This window comes from Homo sapiens, chromosome 7, assembly GCF_000001405.40.
Source record: "Homo sapiens chromosome 7, GRCh38.p14 Primary Assembly".
NCBI lineage: Eukaryota > Metazoa > Chordata > Mammalia > Primates > Hominidae > Homo > Homo sapiens.
This window is the reverse complement of record NC_000007.14, coordinates 44,991,497-45,015,871: the sequence shown is the minus strand read 5'-3', so window position 1 is coordinate 45,015,871 and position 24,375 is coordinate 44,991,497. Positions and strand designations below refer to the sequence as shown.

General features: G+C 46.1%; 1 protein-coding gene and 1 long non-coding RNA gene across 10 annotated transcripts in view, besides 6 other annotated features; one reads left to right on the top strand and one right to left on the bottom strand.

The window, feature by feature from the left end:
• Window positions 1–16,126, bottom strand: part of CCM2 (CCM2 scaffold protein) — a 76,725-nt gene extending 60,599 nt beyond the window's left edge. For 6 of the 7 annotated variants that reach the window (NM_001363458.2, NM_031443.4, NM_001167935.2 and 3 more), the window contains exon 1: window positions 15,509–15,671. In NM_001363458.2, the coding sequence (NP_001350387.1) occupies window positions 15,509–15,538 (30 nt within the window). In that variant the 5' untranslated portion in view covers window positions 15,539–15,671. Of the gene's footprint in view, window positions 1–15,508; window positions 15,672–16,014 lie in introns of those variants that run through there. The other variant, NR_030770.2, reaches the window with a different exon arrangement.
• Window positions 15,195–15,724: a silencer, noted in NCBI's record as "silent region_18162". NCBI's record gives its function as "represses an Ori minimal core promoter by ATAC-STARR-seq in GM12878 lymphoblastoid cells {active_cell/tissue: GM12878}" and the evidence as "EXISTENCE:reporter gene assay evidence [ECO:0000049][PMID:35858748]".
• Window positions 15,864–24,178, top strand: LOC102723334 (uncharacterized). Of its 3 annotated transcripts, XR_927229.3 has the most exons (5): window positions 15,864–16,154; window positions 16,499–16,592; window positions 17,355–17,519; window positions 20,728–20,843; window positions 23,023–23,259. It is a non-coding gene; the product is annotated as an uncharacterized LOC102723334 (long non-coding RNA). The 3 variants fall into 3 exon arrangements; XR_428139.4 differs by lacking the exon at window positions 17,355–17,519 and having other exon boundaries at window positions 23,023–24,178; XR_927230.3 differs by lacking the exons at window positions 15,864–16,154; window positions 17,355–17,519 and adding an exon at window positions 16,218–16,289.
• Window positions 16,355–16,404: a silencer, noted in NCBI's record as "silent region_18161". NCBI's record gives its function as "represses an Ori minimal core promoter by ATAC-STARR-seq in GM12878 lymphoblastoid cells {active_cell/tissue: GM12878}" and the evidence as "EXISTENCE:reporter gene assay evidence [ECO:0000049][PMID:35858748]".
• Window positions 20,593–20,642: an enhancer, noted in NCBI's record as "active region_25966". NCBI's record gives its function as "activates an Ori minimal core promoter by ATAC-STARR-seq in GM12878 lymphoblastoid cells {active_cell/tissue: GM12878}" and the evidence as "EXISTENCE:reporter gene assay evidence [ECO:0000049][PMID:35858748]".
• Window positions 20,663–20,722: an enhancer, noted in NCBI's record as "active region_25965". NCBI's record gives its function as "activates an Ori minimal core promoter by ATAC-STARR-seq in GM12878 lymphoblastoid cells {active_cell/tissue: GM12878}" and the evidence as "EXISTENCE:reporter gene assay evidence [ECO:0000049][PMID:35858748]".
• Window positions 20,763–20,812: an enhancer, noted in NCBI's record as "active region_25964". NCBI's record gives its function as "activates an Ori minimal core promoter by ATAC-STARR-seq in GM12878 lymphoblastoid cells {active_cell/tissue: GM12878}" and the evidence as "EXISTENCE:reporter gene assay evidence [ECO:0000049][PMID:35858748]".
• Window positions 20,893–20,942: an enhancer, noted in NCBI's record as "active region_25963". NCBI's record gives its function as "activates an Ori minimal core promoter by ATAC-STARR-seq in GM12878 lymphoblastoid cells {active_cell/tissue: GM12878}" and the evidence as "EXISTENCE:reporter gene assay evidence [ECO:0000049][PMID:35858748]".

The following is a 24,375-nucleotide window of genomic DNA, read 5'->3' as shown; positions in this document are numbered from 1 at the left end:
CTGAAAAGGGCAGAATGCCCAAGGCCCAGCAGTGGGTCAGCATGCATGTCAAGGACAAGACGGGAAGCATGTCCAGAGATGAGCTCTCTAACTGGCTTTTTATCCTGTGTCTTCTCACTATCCCTTCCCCTTCATCAGGGCCACGCTTAAGGAACCAGGACGTCCTGGGCCACCTCTGGACTGGCACACATGCCATAGGATTAGAGAAGGCATGTCTGGGACCAACTCTGCCTCAACATGCAAGACATGGGGAAAACTGAGATACCCAGGGCCCAGCTTAAGCCAATGTGTTCAGCAAGGCACAGGAACATGTTGGTCAGGGCTGAGCTGTGTAACTGACCTTTACCCTTTTTTCATCCTCACCTCCCCCTCCCTTTCATCAAACCCAAGCTTTTGGCCAGTGAATCCAGGAAGGGGAAGGGGAAGGGAATATTTCTTAGTTCAGCTTTAGGACAGCATCCCCAACAGCAAACTGTGGGGAGGGAACAGCAGCATGTCTTCAGCTGAGTTTGCCTAGCACAGCTAGGAGTGTTAACCTATGGGGAGACTGAGCAAAAAAGCAAATACACTGAAGAAAACAGGAACCAGATTTCTCACTGTTGGAAAAGCAAGGTATAAATGTGGAAAGGGGTATGACTGGAATAAATTCTGTGTCATGGACTGGAATTAGAGGTATCAGTGTGAACTCTAATGTTTAATACATAAATAGATCCAGAAAAAGAGCTATTTGGTTTCCAAATACCATTTCCACTAAAAGCAAGGAGGACTCCTTGGACGACTGTCTGGTTCCAGGGCTGGGACAGGAAAGAACAAGATTAGCTGAAACATCTTGTTTTAGCAAATGTAAGAAAGTGTTTAAAGAAAGACAAGGGCTTGTCAAAAAGATGCCAGATGCACAACATGAATATTCTTGGTGCTATTGAACTGTACACTTAAAAATGGTTAAGACTGGCCGGGCATGGTGGCTCACGCCTGAAATTCCAGCACTTTGGGAGGCTGAGGTGGGCCGATCAGCCGATGTCAGGAGTTCACAGTCAGCCTGGCCAACATGACGAAACCCCGTCTCTAATAAAAATTCAAAAATTAGACAGGCTTGGTGGTGCACGCCTGTGATCCCAGCTACTGGGGAGGCTGAAGCAGGAGAATCGCTTAAACCCAGGAGGTGGAGGTTGGAGTGAGCCAAGATGGCGCCATTGCACTCCAGCCTGGGTGATAAAGCAAGACTCCATCTCAAAAAAAAAAAAAAAAAGGTTAAGACTGGCCAGGAGTTGTAGCTCAGCCCTGTAATTCCAGCACTTTGGGAGGCAGAGGTGGGAGGACAGCTTGAGCCCAGGAGTTCAAGACTAGCGTGGGCAACATGGCCAAAATTAAAAGGTTAAGATAGTAAATTTTGTTATGCGTTTGCTTTTTTACTGCAATTAAAAATTAAAATAGGCCGGGCGCGGTGGTTCATGCCTGTAATCCCAGCACTTTGGGAGGCCGAGGTGGGCGGATCACGAGGTCAGGAGTTCGAGACCAGCCTGGCCAAAATGGTGAAACCCTGTCTCTACTAAAAATACAAAAATTAGCCGGGTATGGGTGGCAGGCACCTGAAATCCCAGCTGCTCGGGAGGCTGAGGCAGAAGAATCGCTTGAACCTGGGAGGCAGAGGTTGCAATGAGCCAAGATTGTGCCACTGCACTCCGGCCTGGGCAACAGAGTAAGACACCATCTCAAAAAAAGTAATAATAATTAAAATAAATAAAAATACAAATAAGAGACCAGAGCCAGCTTAAAGTGCTTCCCACTGGCTGAGTTTGGGACAATTTGAGCTTCAAAATAAATAAGGATACTAGAGAACTACAGTCTTGTAAGTAAAATAAGAATAAATAAGAACTTTAAAATGAAGAAACTTGGCAAGACTATCTTAACCAAGTAACCACAGTTAACATCACCAACATGGGACAAATCGACATTATTTTCCCTGATATGATGCAATGAGAAGAATACATCATCTGTGTGGCAGTCCTATCAAAAACACATAAACTCATGAGGAAAAAACAGACCCAACTGAGAGACATCCTACTAACTGATCTGTAATCTTCAAAAATATCAATCATCAGAGACAAGAAAAGACTAGGAACCATTTCAAGTTCAAAGAGCCTAAAGAGACATGCAAACCAAATGCAACACATGATCCTGAATCTATAAAATCTATGGATCCTAGAGCTATATAAAGAAAGTATCATAACAATCAGCAAGTCTGGGTGGGGTCATGAATTACGTAGCAAGATCAAATGGATGTCAATTTCCTGATTTTAATGATGTCAGAATGGTGTGGTTAGAGTGTCCTTGTACCAAGGAAGGTACAGTTGAAGTGTTAAAGGGTCATGGGGCATTATGTCTACAGCTTATTCTTAATGGTTCAGAAATGTTAACACTTGAGGGATCTGGGTGGAAGGCGTATGAGGGCTCTGTGTACTCTGTATATACTCTGTGTGCTTTAAGTCTACTACGTATATATAATTAAATCATTTCAATATAAAAAGGTGAAAAGTCGATTGTTTAAAGCAAAAAAAAAATCTAATGTAAGATTTATAACACGTATAGAAAGAAAATATATGCCAAAAAGTTTGCAAAAAACAGGAGGGAGTACAAATGGAATGATACTGCTGATAGGTTCTTACAGTGTACAAGAAAGAAATGATATTAATGGATGGTAATCTGTGACAAGACATGGATATATATAGCAATATATAGAGGAGTTACAGCAAAAAAGCCAGTAGCAATAGAACAGAGTTAAAAATAATCAAAAAGGAGAAACAAAGGAAGAAAGCACAAAGGGAAAGAGAAAACAAATATCAAAATGATAGACTTAAACATAATGACATCAATTATGTAAACTTCACAATTAAAAGGCAGAAACTATCAGACTAGATAAAAAAGCAAGCTGTAACAAAATGCTCTTTATAAAGCATGCAGTTTAAAACTCCAGACTTGTTGAAAGACACACACCATGCAAACATGCAGCATAAGAAAGTGGGGTAGCCAGGTGTGGCTGGCTCAAGGCCGTAACCCCAGCTTCTCGGGAGGCTGAAGAGGATCACTGAGGCCAGGAGTTTGAGACGACCTGGGCAACATAGTGAGACCCCATCTCTAAAAAAAAAAAAATTAGCCAGGCATGGTGGCGCACACCTGTACTCCCAGCTACCTGGGAGGCTGAGGCAGAAGATCACTTGAGCCCAGGAGTTCAAGGCTGCAGTGAGTTATGATCATACTACTGCTCTCCAGCCTCGGCGACAGAGCGAGACTCTTCGGCAGTTGCTAAAGTCCCTAAGGCAAAAAAAGAATGTGGTGTAGCTATATTAATATCAGACAAGAGATTGGGACAAGAAGTCTTACTAGAAATAAAGATGGTCATGTCATAATGAAAAAGATTCATTTCAACAAGACATTATGGGCTGGGAGCAGTGGCTCACACCTGTAATCCCAGCACTTTGGGAGGCCGAGGCGGGTGGATCACCTGAGGTCAGGAGTTCAAGACCAGGCTGGCTAACATGGCAAAACCCCGTCTCTACTAAAAATACAAAAATTACCTGGGCATGGTGGTGCATGCCTGTAATTCCAGCTACTCAGAAGGCTGAGACAGGAGAATCACTTGAACCCAGGAGGTGGAGGTTGCAGTTAGCCAAGATCGTAGCACTACACTGCAGCCTGGGTAAGAGAGAAAGACTACCATCTCAAAAAAAAAAAAAAAAAAAAGATATTATGATCCTAAATGTGTATGTACTTAACAACAGAGCTTCAAAATACATGAAGCCAAAACTAACTAAAGGGAAAAACAAATCCAAAATAATAACTAGAGAACTTAACACCCTCTCTCTCAATAACTGACAGGATTAGCTGGATGCAGTGGCTCATGCCTGTAATCCCAGCACTTTGGGAGGCCAAGGTGGCTTTAGGCCAGGTGTCCAAGACCACCCTGGACAACATACTAAAATACTGATACTCTACAAAAACTTTTTAAAAAGTTAGCCAGGGCAGGGCACGATGGCTTACACCTATAATCTCAGCACTTTTAGAGAGGCCAAGGCAGGCAGATCACTTGAGATCAAGAATTTGAGATCATCCTGGCCAACATATTGAAACCTCACCTCTACTAAAAATACAAAAATTAGCCAGGCATAGTGGTGGGCACCAGTAATCTCAGCTACTTGGGAGGCTGAGGTAGGAGAATTGATTGAAACCAGGAGGCAGAGGTTGCAGTGAGCCAAGATCACGCCACTGCACCCCAGCCTGGGCAACAGAGTGAGACTCCATCTCAGTAAATAAATAAATAAATAAAGCAACCATTAAAAAATAAAACATAAAAATAAAAATTTTTAAAAATTAGCCCAGCTGGGTACAGTGGCTCACACCTATAATCCCAGCACTTTGGGAGGCCAAGGCAGCTGGATCACCTGAGGTCAGGAGTTCGAGAGGAGCCCGGCCAACATGGTGAAACCCCATCTCTACTAAAAATACAAAAATTAGCCGGGTGTGGTGGCGGGCACCTGTAATCCCAGCTACCAGGGAGGCTGAGGCATGAGAATAACTAGAACTTGGGAGGCAGAGGCTGCAGTGAGCTGAGATCGCACCATTGCACTCCAACCTGGGCAACAAGAGTGAGACTCCGTCTCAAAAAAAAAAAAAATTTAGCTGGGCATAGTGGCACACACCTATCGTCCTAACTACTTGGGAGGTTGAGGCATGAGAACTGCAGGAGTTTGAGGTTATACTGAGCTCTGATTGCACCACTACACTCCAGCCTGGGTTACAGAATGAGACCCTGTCTCTGGAAAGAGAAAAAAACAAAGAATTAGGAGACAAAAATTTAGCAGAAAGTTTGGCAGTGTCTTATAAAGTTAAACATATAGTTCCCATAAAATTCAGCAATTCCATTATTAGGTATTTACCCAAAATAAATGAAAACATGTTCACATAATGACTCATTCACAAATGTTCACAGCAGCTTTTTCAAAATACAAAGTAGACTGGGAGGCCGTGGCAAGTGTATCACCTGAGGTCAGGGGTTCGAGACCAGCCTGGCCAACATGGTGAAACCCCATCTCTACTAAAAATACAAAAATTAGCCAGGCATCGTGGCGGGCACCTATAATCCCACCTACTCAGGAGGCTGAGGCAGGAGAATCACTTGAACCCAGGAGGCAGAGGTTACAGTGAGCTGAGATCACACCATTGCATTCCAGTCTGTGCGACAAGAGCAAAACTCCATCTCAAAAAAATATATATATATATACACAAACTAGAAAGAAACTAAATCTCCAACAAATGAATAAACAAATCACAGCATAAACATACAACAAAATATTACTCAGCAACTGAAACATGCAGCAATATATGGATAAATCTCAAAAACATTATGCTGAGTACAGTGATCCCTGCACAACACAATGTATACTGTATGAATCCATCTGTATGAAGTTCTAGAATGAACAAAATTAACCTATGGTGGAAAAAAATCAGAACAGTACTACCTTGGGGGAAGGACTTTCTAAGGGGCATAAGGGAATTTTCTCAGTGATGGTAGGTAATATTTTATTTCTTAGTAGGGGTTTCAGTTACGTAGGAGTATGCATTTGTCAAAATTTAGCTAATATTCACTGAAGATGTGTATTATTTGGCCAGGAGCAGTGGCTCACGCCTGTAATACCAACACTTTGGCAGGCCGAGACAGAAGGATTGCTTAAGCCCAGGAATTCAAGACCAGCCTGGGCAACACAGTGAGACCTCGTCTCTACAAAAAATAAAAAAAATTAGCTGGGCATGGTGACAAACCCATTTAGTCCTAGCTACTGAGGAGACTGGGGCGGGAGGATCACTTGAGTCTGGGAAGTCAAGGCTGCAGTGTGCCATGATTGCACCACGGCACTCCAGCCTCTGTGACAGAGTGAGACCCTGTTTAAAAAAAAAAAAAAAGTGTGTATTTCATTGTTACATAATTTTACATCAAAAGAAAACTGTAAGCAAATATTGAACCCTAGTTAATGACATGCATGCTAATGTATTTAGATCAAAGTGAAACAATGTCTGCAATTTATTGAGGAATGCATCAGAAAAATAAAATGAGTTGATGGGCAGGTACAGTGATAAACAAATGCTAGATATGGGATAAAACAAGTATAGCCAGGCCAGGCAGGGTGGCTCATGAGTGTAATCCCAGCACTTTGGGAGGCCGAGGTGGGCGGATCATCTGAGGTCAGGAGTTCTAGACCAGCCCCACCAACATGGTGAAACCCTATCTCTACTAAATACAAAAACTTAGCCAGGCGTGATGGCACATGCCTGTAATCCCAGCTGCTGGGGAGGCTGAGGCAGGAGAATCGCTTGAACAAAGGAGGCGGAGGTTGCAATGAGCCGAAATCACGCCATTGCACTCCATCCTAGGTGACAGAGTGAGACTCCGTCTCAAAAAAAAAAAAAAAAAAAACAAGTATAGCCAACGTTAGTGGCAGAATCTAGGTGCAAGTATTCACTGCAAAATTCTTTCAACTTTGGTGTACTCAAAAATTTTTTTTTTTTTTTTTTTTTTGAGACAGAGGCTCCCTCTGTCGCCCAGGCTGGAGTGCAATGGCGCAATCTTGGCTCACAGCAACCTCTGCCTCCCGGGTTCAAGCGATTCTCCTGCCTCAGCCTCTGGAGTAGCTGGGATTACAGGCACACACCACCATGCCCTGCTTATTTTTGTATTTTTGTAGAGATAGCATTTCGCCATGTTGGCCAGGCTGGTCTTGAACTTCTGATCTCAGGTGATCTGCCTGCCTTGGCCTTCTAAAGTGCTGGGATTAGAGGCGTGAGCACCGTGCCTGTCCCAAAAATTTTCATCATAAAATGCTGAGGGTGGAAGAATGTGCTGGAAAAAGCAAACACGGAGGCTGCACATACCTCTTTCAAGAAAGACGGACAATACTAAGTGAGAGGGGGAGCCTTAGAAAGGAACTTGAACTCAGCCTGATATTAGAAGTGCACAGGCAGGTGGGCTATGGTTATTGTCTATACCCAGTAGCATGAAAAGTAAAAGCTATGTAAAGGTGATGTATCTAATGGCAGTAATAAATTAGCTAGACATAATCATATCTAGGGCATTTTCAGACATCTGACAGAAAATCAACATGCACCATAACTGACACTTAGACCTGACCAAGGCATCTCATTAAGAACATGTACCCTTGGCCGGGTGCGGTGGCTCACGCCTGTAATCCCAGTACTTTGGGAGGCCGAGGTAGGTGGATCACCTGAGGTTGGGAGTTTGAGACCAGTCTGACCCACATGGAGAAACCCCGTCTCTACTAAAAATACAAAATTAGCCGGACTTGGTGGCGCATGCCTGTAATCCCAGCTACTTGGGAAGGCTGAGGCAGGAGAATCGCTTGAACCTGGGAGGTAGAGGTTGTGGTGAGCCGAGATCGCGCCACTGCACTCCAGCCTGGGCAAGAGCAAAACTGTCTCAAAAAAAAAAAAAAAAAAAAAAAAAAAGAACATGTACCCTTGGCCAGGCACGGTGGCACACAGAGGCACACATTGGTCAGGACTTCGGGAGGACGAGGCGGGTGGATCATGAGGTCAAGAGATCAAGACCATTCTTGCCAACATGGGGAAACCCCATCTCTACCAAAAATAAAAAAATTAGCCGGGCATGGGAACACGCACCTATAGTCCCAGCTACTTGGGAGGCTGAGGCAGAATTGCTTGAACCCAGGAGGCGGAGCCTGCAGTGAGCTGAGGTCATGCAACTGCACTCCAGCCTGGGCAGCAGAGCAAGACTCCACCTCAAAAAAAAAAAAAAAAAAAAATGTACCCCACCACATAAACCAACAAGGGAAACATTTCAGTTTCCACACCTGACCAGAGAGCTCATGGTGACAACACACAGGAAGCAAATTTGATTTTTTGAAAAAAACCTGTATGGAATTTTAAACTATAGAATAGACATAAAGATTTAAATAAAGGCTTCTCTCTTTTTTTTCTCCAAGGTACAAAAACAACATGTGAAATGGTTATCTCCCACTCCTCAACTAGGTTTCCCTTAAGAACAGTGACACCACGGGTTTAGGCTGACCAGTCTTCTCACTTTCAGAAAAGTGAAAAACCTCCTTGGGTTACAAGACACACCATCATCCTAAGCTGCAAACAAAAGCCCAAATTCCATGTTCCTATTATGCTTATTAAAGGGGATCACTTTCATTGCACATACATCTAATGCCTATGGTCAAATGCCCTAATTCTTAACATAATCCAAGCAAAAAATTGTTACTGTTTGGGCACACTTGGGAGAAAAAAAAAGGTCACATTTTTGGCACAGACACAAGGCTAAGGAAAAAAGTTCTTATTTTTACAAAACAAACAAACAAAAAATCCTAATGGTTCCATTGACAAATCCAAATGTAAACTCCCTCATACCTGTAGAATCATTTGAAGAGCAGTTGCTGTTCTTGATTGAAAGATAAAAAAGCCAAGGAGTGCGAAGCGCGCTAACAAAGATCCACTGTTCACAAGGACACAGCGATGCATGCAGAGGACATGGCTGGGCTCACTGCTCCCGCCACAGATCCCAGAGCACAAAGCCTGTCCCAGATGAAATGAATGACATCCCTGACTGTGCCAGCTCCCAAAACACCATACATGTTCTCCCAACCACAAAGAGTGTGCTGTGATTTATGGTTTACATACAGCACAGTGAGGGTTGTCCTGTCACTCTGAGCAGCTCGTCCGTGGCCATGTTGACAGTGTAGACTTGGTCCTCAGAACTCACCCCAGAGACCCTAAGGCAGCCAGCAGATGAGGCCAGAATGACCAGCAACATAAGGCTTGTTACTCTTCTGTCTTGATGAGTTACTACTGCACTTCTATCTACAAACTGAACTCTAGGGTTTGCTTCAAAATCACCTGGTGCATTAGCCTTCTTGGGCTGCCAGGACTAAGTATTATAGACTTGAGTGGCTTCAATAATAGAAACTTATTCTCTTAGAGTCTAGATGCTGAAAGTCCAAGATCAAGGTAAATTTAGCAGGGTGGTTTCTCCTGAGGTCTCTCCTTGGCTTGCAGATGGCTGCCTTCTCCATGAGTCCTCCAATGATCATTCCTCTCTGTGTCCTAATAACTTCCTATAAGGACATCCATCAGATTGGATTAGGGCCCACACAATTACCTCATTTTACCTCAATCACCTCCTTAAAGACTCCATCTTCAGGCCAGGCATGGTGGCTCAAGCCTATAATCCCAGCACTTTGGGAGGCCGAGGTGGGTGGATCACGGAGTCAGGAGATTGAGACCATCCTGGCTAATACGGTGAAACCCCATCTCTACCAAAAATACAAAAAAATTAGCCAGGTGTGGTGGCGGGCACCTGTAGTCCTAGCTACTCAGGAGGCCGAGGCAGGAGAATGGCGGGAACCTGGGAGGCGGAGCTTGCAGCGAGCCAAGATTGCACCACTGCACTCCAGCCTGGGTGACAGAGCAACAAGACTCCGTCTAAAATAAAAACAAATAAAAAAAAAAAGACTCCATCTTCAAATACAGTCACATCCTGAGGTCCTGGAAGTAGGGGCTTCAGCACATGACTCTGAGGGGACACTATTCGGCCCACACAGGCAGGAAGCAGGAATGAGGAGAAGGTGCACATGAAACTGACTGCCCACACATGGGCACAGGGGACTTCGTTACATGATTTTTTTTCTTTACATTTGCTTTTGAAGTTTTCATAAAGGTGTTCCTGATCACTCTTACCAAAGCCTGCTCCCACCATCCATCCCCGGGCTCCACTTCCTGCTCTGCAGCCACAGGCTCACCGTACACATTTCAGTCTCCAGCATCTGTGTCTGACACCATTGGTGCTAATAAACAATAGTTTAATGGACAAGTGAATGCATGATGTGGAACACCTCCAGTGGCTTCAAGTGCATACAGAACCAACACCCAACTTCCCAGCCCAAGGACTTCCCAGGACTGGGGGGTCCTCTCCACCTCATCTCTGCTTCTGAACTGCAGGACACAGTCCCGGTCTCAACCTGGCTGGAAGTGGCTGCTGCCTGCCCCATGTCTCTTCTGACATCCTAGGTCTGCCTTTAGTCTCTAATTTTAGGTGTAAGTGACCTACTTTCCAAAGTGCAATGTCCCTAACCCTCTTCTCAGTGGGCTAAGCACATAATAGGCAAGGCATGACCAAGTTATCTCACTAAAAACTTGTATCGCCACCACGTAAACCAACAATAGAGGGTGATTTAAATGCTCAATAGTTAGGTTTATAGGACTTAATCATGACCATTTACTTACACTGCAAAGTGACAACAAGGAGGGGGCACTGCTGACGGAAATGAAAAAACTGGAAGATCAAGAGTAAGCGCCCCAGTGGGGCAGACTGCAGACGCCCTTCTCGTCTGCAGGGAAGCCCTTCACTGCAATAATATTGCTAAGAGAAACGTTTTGCTTTACACTATCTTCCTCTGAAAGGATGCTCAGAGCAGCCCTGGAAGGTTCTGATGTGCTTTCTGAATCTAAATTATGACAGAATCTGACAATATGTTGAAAATTAACAAATACATACTATGTAAATGGTAACTCTTCAAGACAGAAAAGTAACCAGCCTTATGTTGCCGATCATTCTGGCCTCACCTACTGGCTGCCTTAGGTTCTCTGCTGAGCACCTCCTGCCTGGTTCTCCAGCCTCCTGACCCTGAGTTACCAAGTTGCCATCCAAGAATCACTGCAATAGCTACCCAAGAGGAAAAATAAAACAAAATATAGCAGCCCCAATTCACCTTCTGAACCCAAGTATGGCTTGTGACAGTTATAGAATCGGTTTAGTGGGTCATGACCATGAGCCTTTTTTTTTTTTTTGAGACGGAGTCTTACTCTTGTCGCCCAGGCTGGAGCGCAATGGCACATTCTCAGCTCACTGCAACCTCCATCTCCCGAGTTCAAGCAATTCTCCTGCCTCAGCCTCACAAGTAGCTAGGATTACAGGCCCCACCACCACGCTCAGCTAATTTTTGTATTTTTAGTAGAGATGGGGTTTCACCATGGCTGGTCTCAGACTCCTGACAGGTGATCCACCCACCTCAGCCTCCCAAAGTGCTGGGATTACCAGTGTGAGCCACCGCACCTGGCCAACCACCAGTTGTAATAGAAAGAAAAAAAAATAGAATTAAAAAATCAGAGCGTTTAAGTGTGGTTCCTTTAAACTTTCACTTCGGTTATACAGACACACACATTTATGTCTGCATCAGGTCAGCATGGAGAAGGTATGGCTTCCTGGTGCCTGCAGTGACCAAATTTTAAAAGGTACTGGTCCAATCCAAGCTTTCAGTTCCTCACAGACACTGGTCCAGCAGTGACTACAGCAGCTGATAGTTCAGGGCCTGTAACCTAGAGGATCTTTTCCCCTCCACTTTTTATTATGGAAATTCTCAAAAATACATAAAAGTAGACAGAACAATATATAACCATTACCAAAGCATTCAGCTATCCCCTTTGTTTCTTCTATTTTGAGTAAAGCAAATCCCAGAAATCATATTATTTCACCTACAAATATCTCAGAATACATGCCTATCAGATCAGAACTTAATTATCATACCCAACAAAATTAATAATTCCTTATTTATTATTTAATATCTAGTCCTACATTTCTAGGGAACTTTATAACCTTTTTTTTCTCTTTTTCTTCTTGAGACAGGGTCTTGCTGTCACTCAGGTGGTGGCACAATCACACTCACTGCAGCCTCGACCTCCAGGGCTCAAGCGATCTTCCCTTCTCAGCATCCCAAGTAGCTGGAACTACAGGCATGCACCACCATGCTCAGCTAATTTTCTTATTTTTTGTAGAGATAGGGTCTCACTACATTGTCCAGGCTGATCTCAAACTCCTAGGCTCAAGTGATCCTCCCACCTCAGTCTCCCAAAGTGCTGGGATTACAGGCGTAGCCACTACACTCAACCTATAACCTTTTTCTACCTTAAACAATGCAAATAAACTAGATGAATGTAAAAATATTTAACTTTGATCAGTGTGAAATCATAGCCACCTGGTGGGGCAACCGAAGACCAGAGGCAGCAGAGAAGCTGAGACCCACAAGGTTAAGGCCACAAGATGGTTTTTTTTTTTTTTTGGAGATGGAGTCTTGCCCTGTTGCCCAGGCTGGAGTACAGTGGCATGATCTCAGCTCACTGCAACCTCCACCTCCCGGGTTCAAGAGATTCTCCTGCCTCAGCCTCCTAACTGGGATTATAGGCACATGCCACCACGCCCAGCTAATTTTGTATTTTTAGTAGAGACGGGGTTTCACCATGCTGGCCAGGCTGGTCTCAAACTCCTGGTGTCAAGTGATCCGCCTGCTTCGGCCTCCCAAAGTGTTAGGATTACCTACACCCAACCCTGACAAGACAGCTTTTTTGGGCTGTGATCTGAGTATAAAAATCCACACAACCCAACTTAAGTGCATCCAAGTTTCTAATAAAAAGGAATTACTGTCAGGTGCGGTGGCTCAGCCACCCAGCACCTTGGGAGGCCAAGGTGGGTGGATCACCTGAGATCCGGAGTTTGAGACTAGCCTGACCAACATGGAGAAACCCCGTCTCTACTAAAAATACAAAAATTAGCTGGGCATGATGGCACACGCCTGTAATCCCAGCTACTCGGGAGGCTGAGGCAAGAGAATCACCTGAACCCGGGAGGCGGAGGTTGCAGTGAGCTGAGATCGTGCCATTGCACTCCAGCCTGGGCAACAAGAGCGAAACTCTATCTCAAAAAAAAAGGAATTACATAGTGCCACAATGCACAGAACATGAGTCCATACCGTAGGTAGGAGCCTTATTCTCCAAACCCCAAAACAGAACTTGTAGGCTAAAAAGTAGACACTCTGTAGACATCAGGACAGAAGAGCAGCCCCAAGTGGTCACTTCTACTCCCCAGGCCCCACACCTTTAGTGGCCAGAGGACTTTTCTGTCAATGCACTCATTCCTTCAGATGGACCCATGAGTGATCCATCTCCCCATCAGCTCCTGGGGGCCACAAGCTCTTCCTGTATCCCCATCACCCAGTGAGTTTCATGGGACACAAGAGGGGCTCAACAGACATTTGTTAAACGAACCATGGCCCACTTGAGGAAACCCAGGTGTACAGTCATCATCACCACATGTGCTGAGGTGACTTGAGAAAGGGCAGTGATACACTGGGGCCAAGTTTCCGTGAGACTCACTTTGGTCCATAGGTTCTCTGCCAACTCACTGATTCCTGTGTCCTGAGGAAAATGGGCCGAGGTAAAAAAAAGCCTGAATCACTGCTTGGCAGACACCAAGACAAGTGTCTGAGATTAAAAAGAAAAAAAAAAAAAAGGCCCACCTGAGCTCAGGTGATCCTCCTGCCTCAGCCTCCCAAGTAGCTGAGACTATAGGCGAGCGCTGCCGCGCCTGGCTAATTTCTGTATTTTTTGTATAGATGGGGTTTTGCCATGTTGCCCAGGCTGGTCTCGAACTCCTGAGCTAAAGTGATCGAGCCTTGGCCTCCCAAAGTGCTGGATTACAGGCGTAGCTACCATACCCAGCCTAATTCTGCATTTTTTGAAGAAGCTAACTTAGAAGAATTTAAGCGTCCAAACTGTACCTTCATAAAACTATTGTCAGCACTTCTGCTACTTATGTCTGAATTTGTGTATAAGTTTAGAGCAATGCAATTTACCTTAATGAGAATGATTTAACCACCGAAGTTATTAAACTGGAGGTGATCTCACATTGAATGTGGTAGCTGAGCAGGAAGGTTCTGCCAGCTTGCAACTGGCAGAGTACACGAGGTAGTGTTAAGTCATGACCTGGAGAAGAATCCATGCCCCAAAGCTCCTTGTCTGGCTTGTCTACAGGAAACAAGCTAAGACAAGTGGCAGAATACAGAAAAAACACAAAACCCCTGGCTTAAGCAACTACATAACAACTGATTATCTCCTCTAGTGAGAAAATGAAATTAATAATTAACCTGTTTATGCCTAAATTTTTTCATTACCCAACTGGAAAATTCTTGATAATTTTACTGTTTTTTCACTTGTACCCCAAAAACAGTCTTACTGCTTCTCTCTCTCTCTCCCTATTTGCTGGGTGTTTCATGTTTCTACCAAAGCTGATAGACAGCTCTAGAAAAAAAAATCACTCAATTCCATCCTTGCCTATCACACACAGGTAGATGGGCCAGGTACTCCTGTAAGCGGTGCACAATGAGGTCATCAGTCCTTAGCGCGCTCTTGGATCCCGGCATTCCACAGAGCACATGGCTCACTTTCCGCAAAGCTCAGCATCATCCACACTCGGGCCTGATGGTCCCTACTAAGCAGCCACCGGGTTAGCACCTCTCCTTTCCAGCTAACTCCTTTTACACTGCTTGGCTCCTCCCTCTTCTGTGCGCAGCACGCATCTCTAATCTAACACCTGCAGGCTGAATCACTATCTTGAGCTATTTTCCAGACTTAAAACATCTTTGTAGATAACCGCAAATTATACTGCACCTAAATTAGACATGCATGGTGCTAACATGAAACAATGAGTTGAGAAAGTAGAGAACCAGCACCACAGGACTCCCTGAAGGCCACCTGGCTACATTCTATTTCAAACAGGACTTTTAAATGGGGCACTCTGTCAAACAAGGTGGTGAGTAGCTGTCAATTAAAGGACACTTCCCTGCAGAGTTCAGGGTAGTAAAATCATAGTTAGGAATTATCGAGGTCTGCTTTAAACTTGTGGATAAAAGTGCGCACACACACATCAAAAAGAAAATGATAGCCAAGACGTGAAGATTATAAAGCATTTATTTGAAAAAGATACATTTTATTAAAATCCATTTTCCACTTTAATGGTAGTTCAATCCACATCGTTTTTCCAGTCTTAAAATGTTTCTTTATCGACTACTATAACCCTTTACTGTAATTAAAGCCACATTTTGTAAAACTACATAAACTGGGGTTTGACTATGAACTATGTCCTAAATCCCACTGCCAAATGTAGCTAGCGTCACTAAAATCAATCAATGGTTTTAGGTCTGAGTGATAGTGGACGAGTGAGCTGGCCATAAGGTGAAGGCCACCCTTGCTTTTACTGGATATCCAAAAACGAAGTCCAGTGAGCAGCAAACGTCTCCACGTTAACCACACAGCCCACTAGCTCCAGTTCCAGCCCTGGACAGCTTTCTGGCCCCTCGCCGGGCCCACTTCCTCTGCAGCCCCAGGTCCCGACGCGCAGGGAAGGCCGTCTGGGGCCGAGGTCGGGGCGAGCCGCTGCCCGGGCCAGAGGAAAGGCGCGGCGCTTCCTGCCCGCCCGGCCGCGAAAGCCCACCTGACCATTGTCCGGGGTCTCGCCCTGCCCCGCCCCGCCCCGCCAGCTGGCCCACTGCCCCCCCCCCCGGGCCCCAAGGAACACCCGCCCACCCCACCCTGGCCCCTCAACCCAGCCGCCCGCCGACCACAGCAGTAGGACGCCCCCGCGCACGCTCACCTTCTTGCCCTTCTTGCCCTCCTCTTCCATATCGCCGCGTGCGGCTCCCGCGGCCCGCCCGGCCCGCCCCGGGAGCCCCGCCGCCAGCAGCCGCTACATGCTCGACCCGGGCCCGCCGCCCCCGCGCTCCCGGCGCCGCCCGCCAGCCGGGCCCGAAGTCTCCGCCCCGGCCGCGCCCCACACCCGCACTTCCGGGCCCGAGCCCCCTCCGCCCCGCCCAGGCCCCACCTTCCCCAGCGCAGGCCCCGCCCACGGTTGTCGCTCATCCTCACTTTCAGGCCCAAGGGAATCCGACCCGCAGCGATCAGACCCCGCCCCTTCAGGGAGAACACGGCCCGTTGGCCCCGCTCACGGCGAGAGCACCGCCCACAGGCTGAAGATCCTGCCCCTTCAGGACGGCCGAGAACGCGCCTGCCTTGCACCACCCCCACCCCGCCCCGCGTCCTTCAGGAGAGCCGGAAACGCTCCTACCCCTACTTCGCTTCTGCACGGCCGCGAGAACGCACCTGTCCAGCCCCCTGTTCGCTCCGCCCACTCAGCGCGCGCGGGAGCGCGCGCGGGAGCAGCTCCAACTTTTTCAATTTGCCGCCATCTTTACGGCGGCCGACTTCCCAGCCTGCCTCGCGTCCAGGGAGGCGGAGCTCAGGTCTCTGAAAAGGGGACGGGGGGCGGGGGACGGGGGACGGGGGCCGGCGGGAGGGGACGCGGCCGGCAGATGGCGAAGGAGGGGCGCGAGGAGGCGGCCACTGTTGAGGGGCGGGGCGTCCCGCCGAGAGTCTGGGTGCGGTGCGGTTTTCTTTTTTCTTGTGTCCCACTTTATTCCCTGAGCCACAGGGAATCCGTTTTCTAGTACTTCTCTGTTATAAAGTCTGCCTGCCTTAGACAAACACATTTGGAAAATAGAAGTGCAACCACAAGGATGTGCAGACCCTATCAGAATAAAATCGTAGAACCTTACCAGTCATCCGGTATAATTTCCACATTTTCCAGATGAGGTCCGGGGAATGAGGTGATTCGCCCAAAAGCACACTACAAATTGGAGTCACCAGCAGGTCTGCTATTTTGCCACTAAACCAATCTGCCGGTAAGAACTTTGTAGCACAGCTAGAATGTAAACTGTGTTTTTTTGGTGGTTTTTTTTTTTTTTTGAGACGGAGCCTTGCTCTGTCGCCCAGGCTGGAGTGCCAGTGGCGTGGATCTCGGCTCACTGCAAGCTCTGCCTCGCGGGTTCACGCCGTTCTCCTGCCTCAGCCTCCCGAGTAGCTGGGACTACAGGCGCCAGCCACCACACCTGGCTAATTTTTGTATTTTTAGTAGAGACGGGGTTTCACCATGGTCTGGATCTCCTGACCTGGTGATCCGCCCACCTCGGCCTCCCAAAGTGCTGGGATTACAGGCGTGAGCCACCGCGCCCGGCCTAATAATTCTTTATATTAAACTTTTCTTTACTGTGTTTCTGTCTCCTGACTGGGCCTATGTTATACTGATATTCAAAAGAAATACTTGGTCTCTAGACCTCTCCAAAGGCATAAGTATTCCATTCTCTGCAAGATAAAGCAGAGATAGTGGAAACACCCTTTCAATCTGCCTTCTGCAATAATCCAGCTTGCCACATTTACACACGCAAATGATGTAGCGCATCTGGTTGTCATTATTTTCCCACCATTCACAGAACAAAGGCCTGATATTTAAAGTCTTCCACCGTCTTCCACAAATGCATATTTATCACTCCATAATACAGTAAACAACACTACTAAAACTTCTCTTAGCCTAACTCTGGATGTGCTGACTTCCTCAGGCTGTTCTTATCCATCAGAATACCTTTGCCCTGTCTTTGCATACACAGGTTCATGCTTCAAGCAAAAGTCCACTGGCTAATGATCAGATGGTGATAACTGGGAATAAAGACAATAAAATGAGAAAAGCAAAAAGGCTGTTAGCTTGCTATAACAAGGGAGTCAGCCACCATCATTTGTATTTGGATGAGACTCAATGTCAGGCAGAGGAGTGGGTAAGCTTTATAGTGAAAAAAGGGAAGCCTCCAGGGATGTCCTCATTTGAGGCTGTTGGCCTGGGGAAGCAAGGGGCAGGGCATCCCAAGTGATTGGTTAGGGGCACATATTTGTCTTTCTCTGGTTGCTCCTAAGCTGGAAGCAGGACCGAAAACTAGGAAAGCTGCCAGTTTTTTTTTAATTGACAAATAATTTTTTGTTTCTTTTGTATTTTTAGAGATAAAGTCTCACTCTGTCCTTCAGGTTAGAGTGCAGTGATGCAGTCATGGCTCACTGAAGCTTCAACCTCCTGGGCTCAAGCAATCCTCCCATCTCAGCCTCCCAAGTAGCTGGGACTACAAGGACGCATCACCAAGCCTGGCTAATTTTAGTATATTTTTGTTGAGACAAGGTCACACTATGTTGCCCAGGCTGGTCTCAAACTCCTAGGCTCAAGCAATCCTCCCTCCTCAGCCTCCCAAAGTGCTGGGATTATAGGCATGAGCCATCGCACCCAGCTAACACATAATAATTGTACATATTTATGAGGTACATGTGATTTGTGTGTGTGTGTGAGGCAGAGTCTCACTCTGTCACCCAGGCTGGAGTGCAGTGGCATGATTTCAGCTCACTGCAACCTCTGCCTCCCAGGTTCAAGCAATTCTCCTGCCTCAGCTTCCCAAGTAGCTGGGATTACAGGCATGCACCACCACACCAGGCTAATTTTTTTTTTTTTTTTTTTTTTGAGACAGAGTCTTACTCTGTATTGCCCAGGCTGTAGTGCAGTGGTGCAATCTCAGCTCACTGCAACATCCACCCCCCAGTTTCAAGCGATTCTCCTGCCTCCGGAGTAGCTGGAATTACAGGTGCCCACTACCACGCCCGGCTAATTTCTGTATTTTTAGTAGAGACAGGGTTTCACCATGTTGCCCAGGCTGGTCTCGAACTCCTGGCCTCATGTGATCTGTCCACCTTAGCCTCCCAAAGTGCTGAGATTACAGGCATGAGCCACTGCACCCGGCCAAAATACATGTGATATTTTGATACATGCATATGATGTGTAATAATAAAATCAGGGTATTTAGGATATTCGTCACCTGAACACTTATTTCTTTGTGTTGGAGACATTTCAGATCTCTCCTAGCTATTCTGAAATATACAGTACATTGTTATTAACTATAGTCATCTTACTCTGCTATGGAACATTAGAATTTAGGCTGGGTGTGGTGGCTCAAACCCGTAATCCGAGCACTTGGAGAGGCTAAGCTGGGAAGATCACGTGAACCCAGGAATTGGAGACCAGCCTGGGCAATATAGTGAGATCCTTCTTCTACAAAAAATACAAAAATTAGCTGGGCATAGTGGTGTGCACCTGTGGTCCCAGCTACTCAGGGGCCTGAAGTGGGGTCCTTGAGCCCAGGAGGTCGAGGCTGCAGTGAGCTGTCATTGCACCACTGCACTCCAGCCTGGGCAACAAGCCAGATCTGTCTCACACACACACACACACACACACACACACACACACCCATGAGAAATTATTGCTTCTATTTAGCTGTATGTTTGTACACGCTAACCAACCTCTCTTCAGCCCCCTACTTTCCCCCAACACACACCCTTCCCAGCCTCTGGTGGCTATCATCCCAGTCTCTATCTCAATGAGATGAATATTTGTTTAGCTCCCACATATGAGTGAGTAAATGCAATACTTGTCTTTGTTTTTTTGTTTAAAAAAAAATTTACAGGGATGAGGTCACTATGTTGCCCAGGCTGGTCTCCAACTCCTAGGTTCAAGCCATCCTCCCACTTCAGCCTCCCAAGTATTGGGATTACAGGCTTACATAGTGACCTCTAGCTCTATTTATGTTGCTGCAAATGACATTTTCATTTTTTTTTCCTATGGCCAAATAGTATTCTATTGTGTATATATACTAATTTTTTTTGACATGAGGTCTCACTCTGTCACCCAGGCTGGAGTGCAGTGGTATGATCACTGCTCACTACAGCCTTGATCTCATAGACTCAAGAGATCCTCCCACCTCAGCCTCCCCAGTAGCTGGAACCACAGGTGTCTGCTATCACACCTGGCTAATTTTTTTACTTTTTGTAGAGATGAGGTCTCTATGTTGCCCAGGCTGCTCTCAAATTCCTGGGCTCAAGCAATCCTCGCGCCTCAGCCTCCCAAAGTGCTGGGATTATAGGCTTGAGTCACCACGCTCAACCTTATTTTTTGTCTTTTTTTTTTTTTTAGAGACAGGGCTTCCCTCTGTTACCCAGGCTGGAGTGCAGTGGCATGATCTTAGCTCACCGCAGCTTGAGCTAAGGAGCTGGGCTCCTGGGCTCAATGGATCCTCCCACCTCAGCCTCCTAAGTAGCTGGGACTGCAGGTGCGCCAACACCCTTATTTTTTGCCTTTTTGATAATAACCATTCTAAATGGGGTGAAATGGTATCTCATTGTGGTTTTGATTTGCATTTCCCTGATGACTCATGATATTGAGTATTTTTTTATATGTACCTATTTGTTTTTTGTACATCTTCTTTTGAGAAATGTCTACTCAGATTCTTCGCCCACTTTTTAATGGATTATTTGTGGTTTTTTGCTGTCAAGTTGTTTGAGTTCCTTGTATATTCTGGATATTAGTCCCTTGCCGCATGAATAGTTTGCAAATATTTTCTCCCATTCTAAAGGTTGTCTTTTCACTCAGTTGATTGTTTCCATTGCTGTGCAGAAGCTTTTTAGTTTCGCTTAATATAGTCCCATTTGTCTATTTTTGGTTTTGTTGCCTATGCTTTTGAAATTTTAGCCATAAAATCTTTGCCTCGTTCAATGTCTTGAAGCATTTCCCCTATGTTTTCTTCTAGTAGTTTTGTAGTTTCAGGTCTTATGTTTAAGTCTTTAATCCATTTTGAGTTGATTTTTGTATCTGGTGAGAGATAGGGTGCCAGTTATTAATTAAGTCCTAGGCTTTGGGGGCTGTTAGAAAAGTTACTCCTGGATTGTCACTAGAGATAACACCTGGCTTCCTGCAAGTATGACTTACAGCAGGCTTGTTTCCTGGGCTGGTTGCTGTAGATAACGAATTGGTTTCCTGAGGAGGTTTCTGCAGGTTGTCAGTCAGAGTTCTAGTTGTACAAATGGTCCAGCCATTGTCTATTTGTATATTCAGTCTCTCGTAACAGACACCAATGAGACAATTATAACATAAAACAATCTTTTCTTTCTCTCCAGGTCACACCTTGGCTGTAAAGTGTCCTAACAGCCACCTACTTATGATTACTGCTTTCTTACCAATAACCTCCCCAGCCTGTTGTGTGGCTCCTACATCTTGAACAAAAGCGACCAAGGTACCCAATTACTAAACTGCCCACACTTCATGAAAGCAACTTTATAGCCATGATACTCACTTCCCCTTGTCCCCTCTTCAGAATTACTCAGGGCCAGCCCAAACCTTACAAAGTCCCCTTCCTATTCCCTCGTAATGAGAAGCAGCCCTTCTTCCTCTGGGGTGCTCTCCCTGGTCATGGTAGGTTAATAAACCCAAATCTTTTTGCCCAACTGATTTTTGTATTTTAGTAGAGACGGGGTTTCACCATGTTGGCCAGGATGGTTTTGATCTCTTGACCTCGTGATCTGCCTGCTTCGGCCTCCCAGAGTGCTGGGGTTACAGGTGTGAGCCACCGCGCCTGGCTTAAACCCAAGTCTTTTAGACTGCTGGTGAATTTGGCTGTTGAGCTTTGTGACCCAGCTCAATAATCACATCTTCCACTAAATTTCTGGATGCAATTTTTCCCTCCTCCAGTTTCCAGATAACTGTATCTGTATGTCTGTGATGCTAGAGTTAACCAGGTTTAGGACATTTCCTCTACTAGAATAAGCTCCTTTGAAGGTACGGACTATGTGGGATTCCTCCTTGTATCTGAAATAAACTCTAATAAGGGAAATTATGTACACTGAGCCAGACTGAGGTGGAGGGGCACTGGCAACATTACCTGAACATAGTTTCTCATAGATGCTTCCCAGCTAGGCCCTGTTCAGGTAATGTTTCCCTGGTTTTAAGAAAACCCCTAAACACTGAAAATTTACACTTAATTGGCCTATTCAAAGACAGTGTTCCCAGATTTGCATTTTTGCTAGATTTCAGCCAATTTTTTTTTTTTTTTTGAGACAGGGTCTCACTCTGTCACCCAGGCTAGAATGCAGTGGAACCATCTCAACTCACTGCACCCTCAACCTCCCAGGCTCCAGCTATCCTCCCACCTCAGTCTCCCAAGTAGCTGGGACTACAGATGCACACCACCACACTGGCTAATTTTTGTATTTTTTGTAGAGACAGGGTTTCACCATGTTGCCCAGGCTGGTCTTGAACGCATGGACTCATGCAATCCATCTGTCTTGGCCTCCCAAAGTGCTGGGATTACAGGCATGAGCCACTGTGCCCAGCCTTCCAGCCAATTTTTTTTCTTTTTTGAGACAGAGTCTTGCTCTATTGCCCAGGCTGGAGTGCAGTGGCATGATCTTGGCTCACCGCAACCTCCACCTCCTGGGTTCAAGTGACTCCTGCCTCAGCCTCCCGAGTAGCTAGGATTACAGGCATGCACCACCACACCCAGCCAATTTTTGTATTTTTAGTAGAGACAGGGTTTCACCATCACCATGTTGGCCAGGTTGGTCTCAAACTCCTGACCTCAGGTGATCCAGCAGCCTCGGCCTCCCAGAGTGTCGGGATCACAGGTGTGAGCCACTGCAGCCAGCCAACCAGCCAATTTTTTTAAGTGAATCTTTTCACTGGTCTCGAAACTGACTGCAGTTGTTTTCTTATTGTGCCTCTCAGCCATCTGTCCTTGAGTCTATCAGTTGTCTCCCTCATATGAGAACTGGCTTGCAAATAACTAACTAGATGTCTCTGATTTCTGTTTGTTTGTTTTGAGACAGAGTCTCGCTCTGTGGCCCAGGCTGGAGTGCAGTAGCACAATCTTGGCTCACTGCAACCTCTGCCTCCTGGGTTCAAGCGATTCTTCTGCCTCAGCCTCCCGAGTAGCTGGGACTACAGGCGTGTGCCACCACGCCCTGCTAATTTTTGTATTTTTAGTAGAGACAGGGTTTCATCATATTGGCCTGGCTGGTCTCGAACTCCTGACCTCATTCATGATCCACCCGCCTTGGCATCCCAAAGTGTTGGGATTACAGGCATGAACCACCGCGCCTGGCCTTCTCTGAGTTATTCTTTGACGTATGACATGCAACACTTTGACTGTTGTGCACATGATAAAACCATATAGACTTCATTAGTGAAGGAAAGACACTTCAGAGTTGATTAGAGTGAACTATCAGTGAATTTTAATATCCAGTTTCCAGGCCTATAAATCATGAAGGACCAAATCAACTCTGGATCAGAATGACCCCTCAGAAATACAGCCACACTGTGTGGCCCCCAACGGAAGCAACCTTGCAAGTTCCATTTTGACATCTCATTAGCTAACACTGTTTATTCTTCTAGAGCCAAATTGCTAATTTTCTTTTCAGGCATACATCTGTAGGAGACCAGAATATGCCACCCCAAAATATGCCTCCTTGGCCTAAGGATTATTCTGAGCTAGTAATTTTGAGAAACAGAAGCTATGAAAACAGCATAAGCTACCCCTTTGAAAGAGAAATTCACCCCGGCCACCACCCCGTCTGGGAAGTGAGGAGCGTCTCTGCCCAGCCGCCCCGTCTGAGAAGTGAGGAGCCCCTCCGCCCGGCAGCCGCCCCGTCTGGGAAGTGAGGAGCCCCTCTGCCCGGCCGCCAGGCCGTCTGGGAGGTGTGCCCAACAGCTCATTGAGAACGGGCCATGATGACGATGGCGGTTTTGTCGAGTAGAAAGTGGGGAAATGTGGGGAAAGGAAGGAGAGATCAGATTGTTGCTGTGTCTGTGTGGAGAGAAGTAGACACAGGAGACTCCATTTTGTTATGTACTAAGAAAAATTCTTCTGCCTTGGGATGCTGTTAATCTATAACCTTACCCTCAGCCCCATGCTCTCTGAAACATGTGCTGTGTCCACTCAGGGTTAAATGGATTAAGGGCGGTGCAAGATGTGCTTTGTTAAACAGATGCTTGAAGGCAGCATGCTCGTTAAGAGTCATCACCACTCCCTAATCTCAAGTACCCAGGGACACAAACACCGGAAGGCCGCAGGGTCCTCTGCCTAGGAAAACCAGAGACCCTTGTTCACATGTTTATCTGCTGACCTTCCCTCCACTATTGTCCTATGACCCTGCCAAATCCCCCTCTCTGAGAAACACCCAAGAATGATCAATAAATACTAAAAAAAAAAAAAGAGAAACTCACAGTCTTAAAAGAAATCGCTCTTTGTAAGGGTGTCTCCCTCTCTGTACCAGGAAGAGAAAGTTGACTCTAAATCACCAGAGACCCTTATCAATGGAGAAGGCAGCAACTTGTTTTGTGTGCTTCTCCGGGTCTTTTTCCCAAAACTGGCCTTCCTCACTCCCTTCTTTGTTTTTAGCTGAAGATGGTACTTAAACCTGAATTCTAAGCCACTCCTTTGAGAATTACTCATTTTCTTGGGCATCTCACATGTATATGCAAAGTATACATGTTAATATAGCTCCATTTGTTTTTCTCCTGTTAATCTTTTGAGCTGGGCATGGTGGCTCCCGCCTATAATCCCAACATCTTGGGAGGCCAAGGCAAGAGGATTGCTTGAACCCAGGAGCTGGAGATCAGCCTGGGCAACATGACAGGAGCCCATCTCTACGAAATAAAAAATTAAAAAATTAGGGCCAGGCGCAGTGGCTGACACTTGTAATCCCAGCACTTTGGGAAGCCGAGGCAGGTGGATCACAAGGTCAGGAGTTCAAGACCAGCGTGGCCAAGAT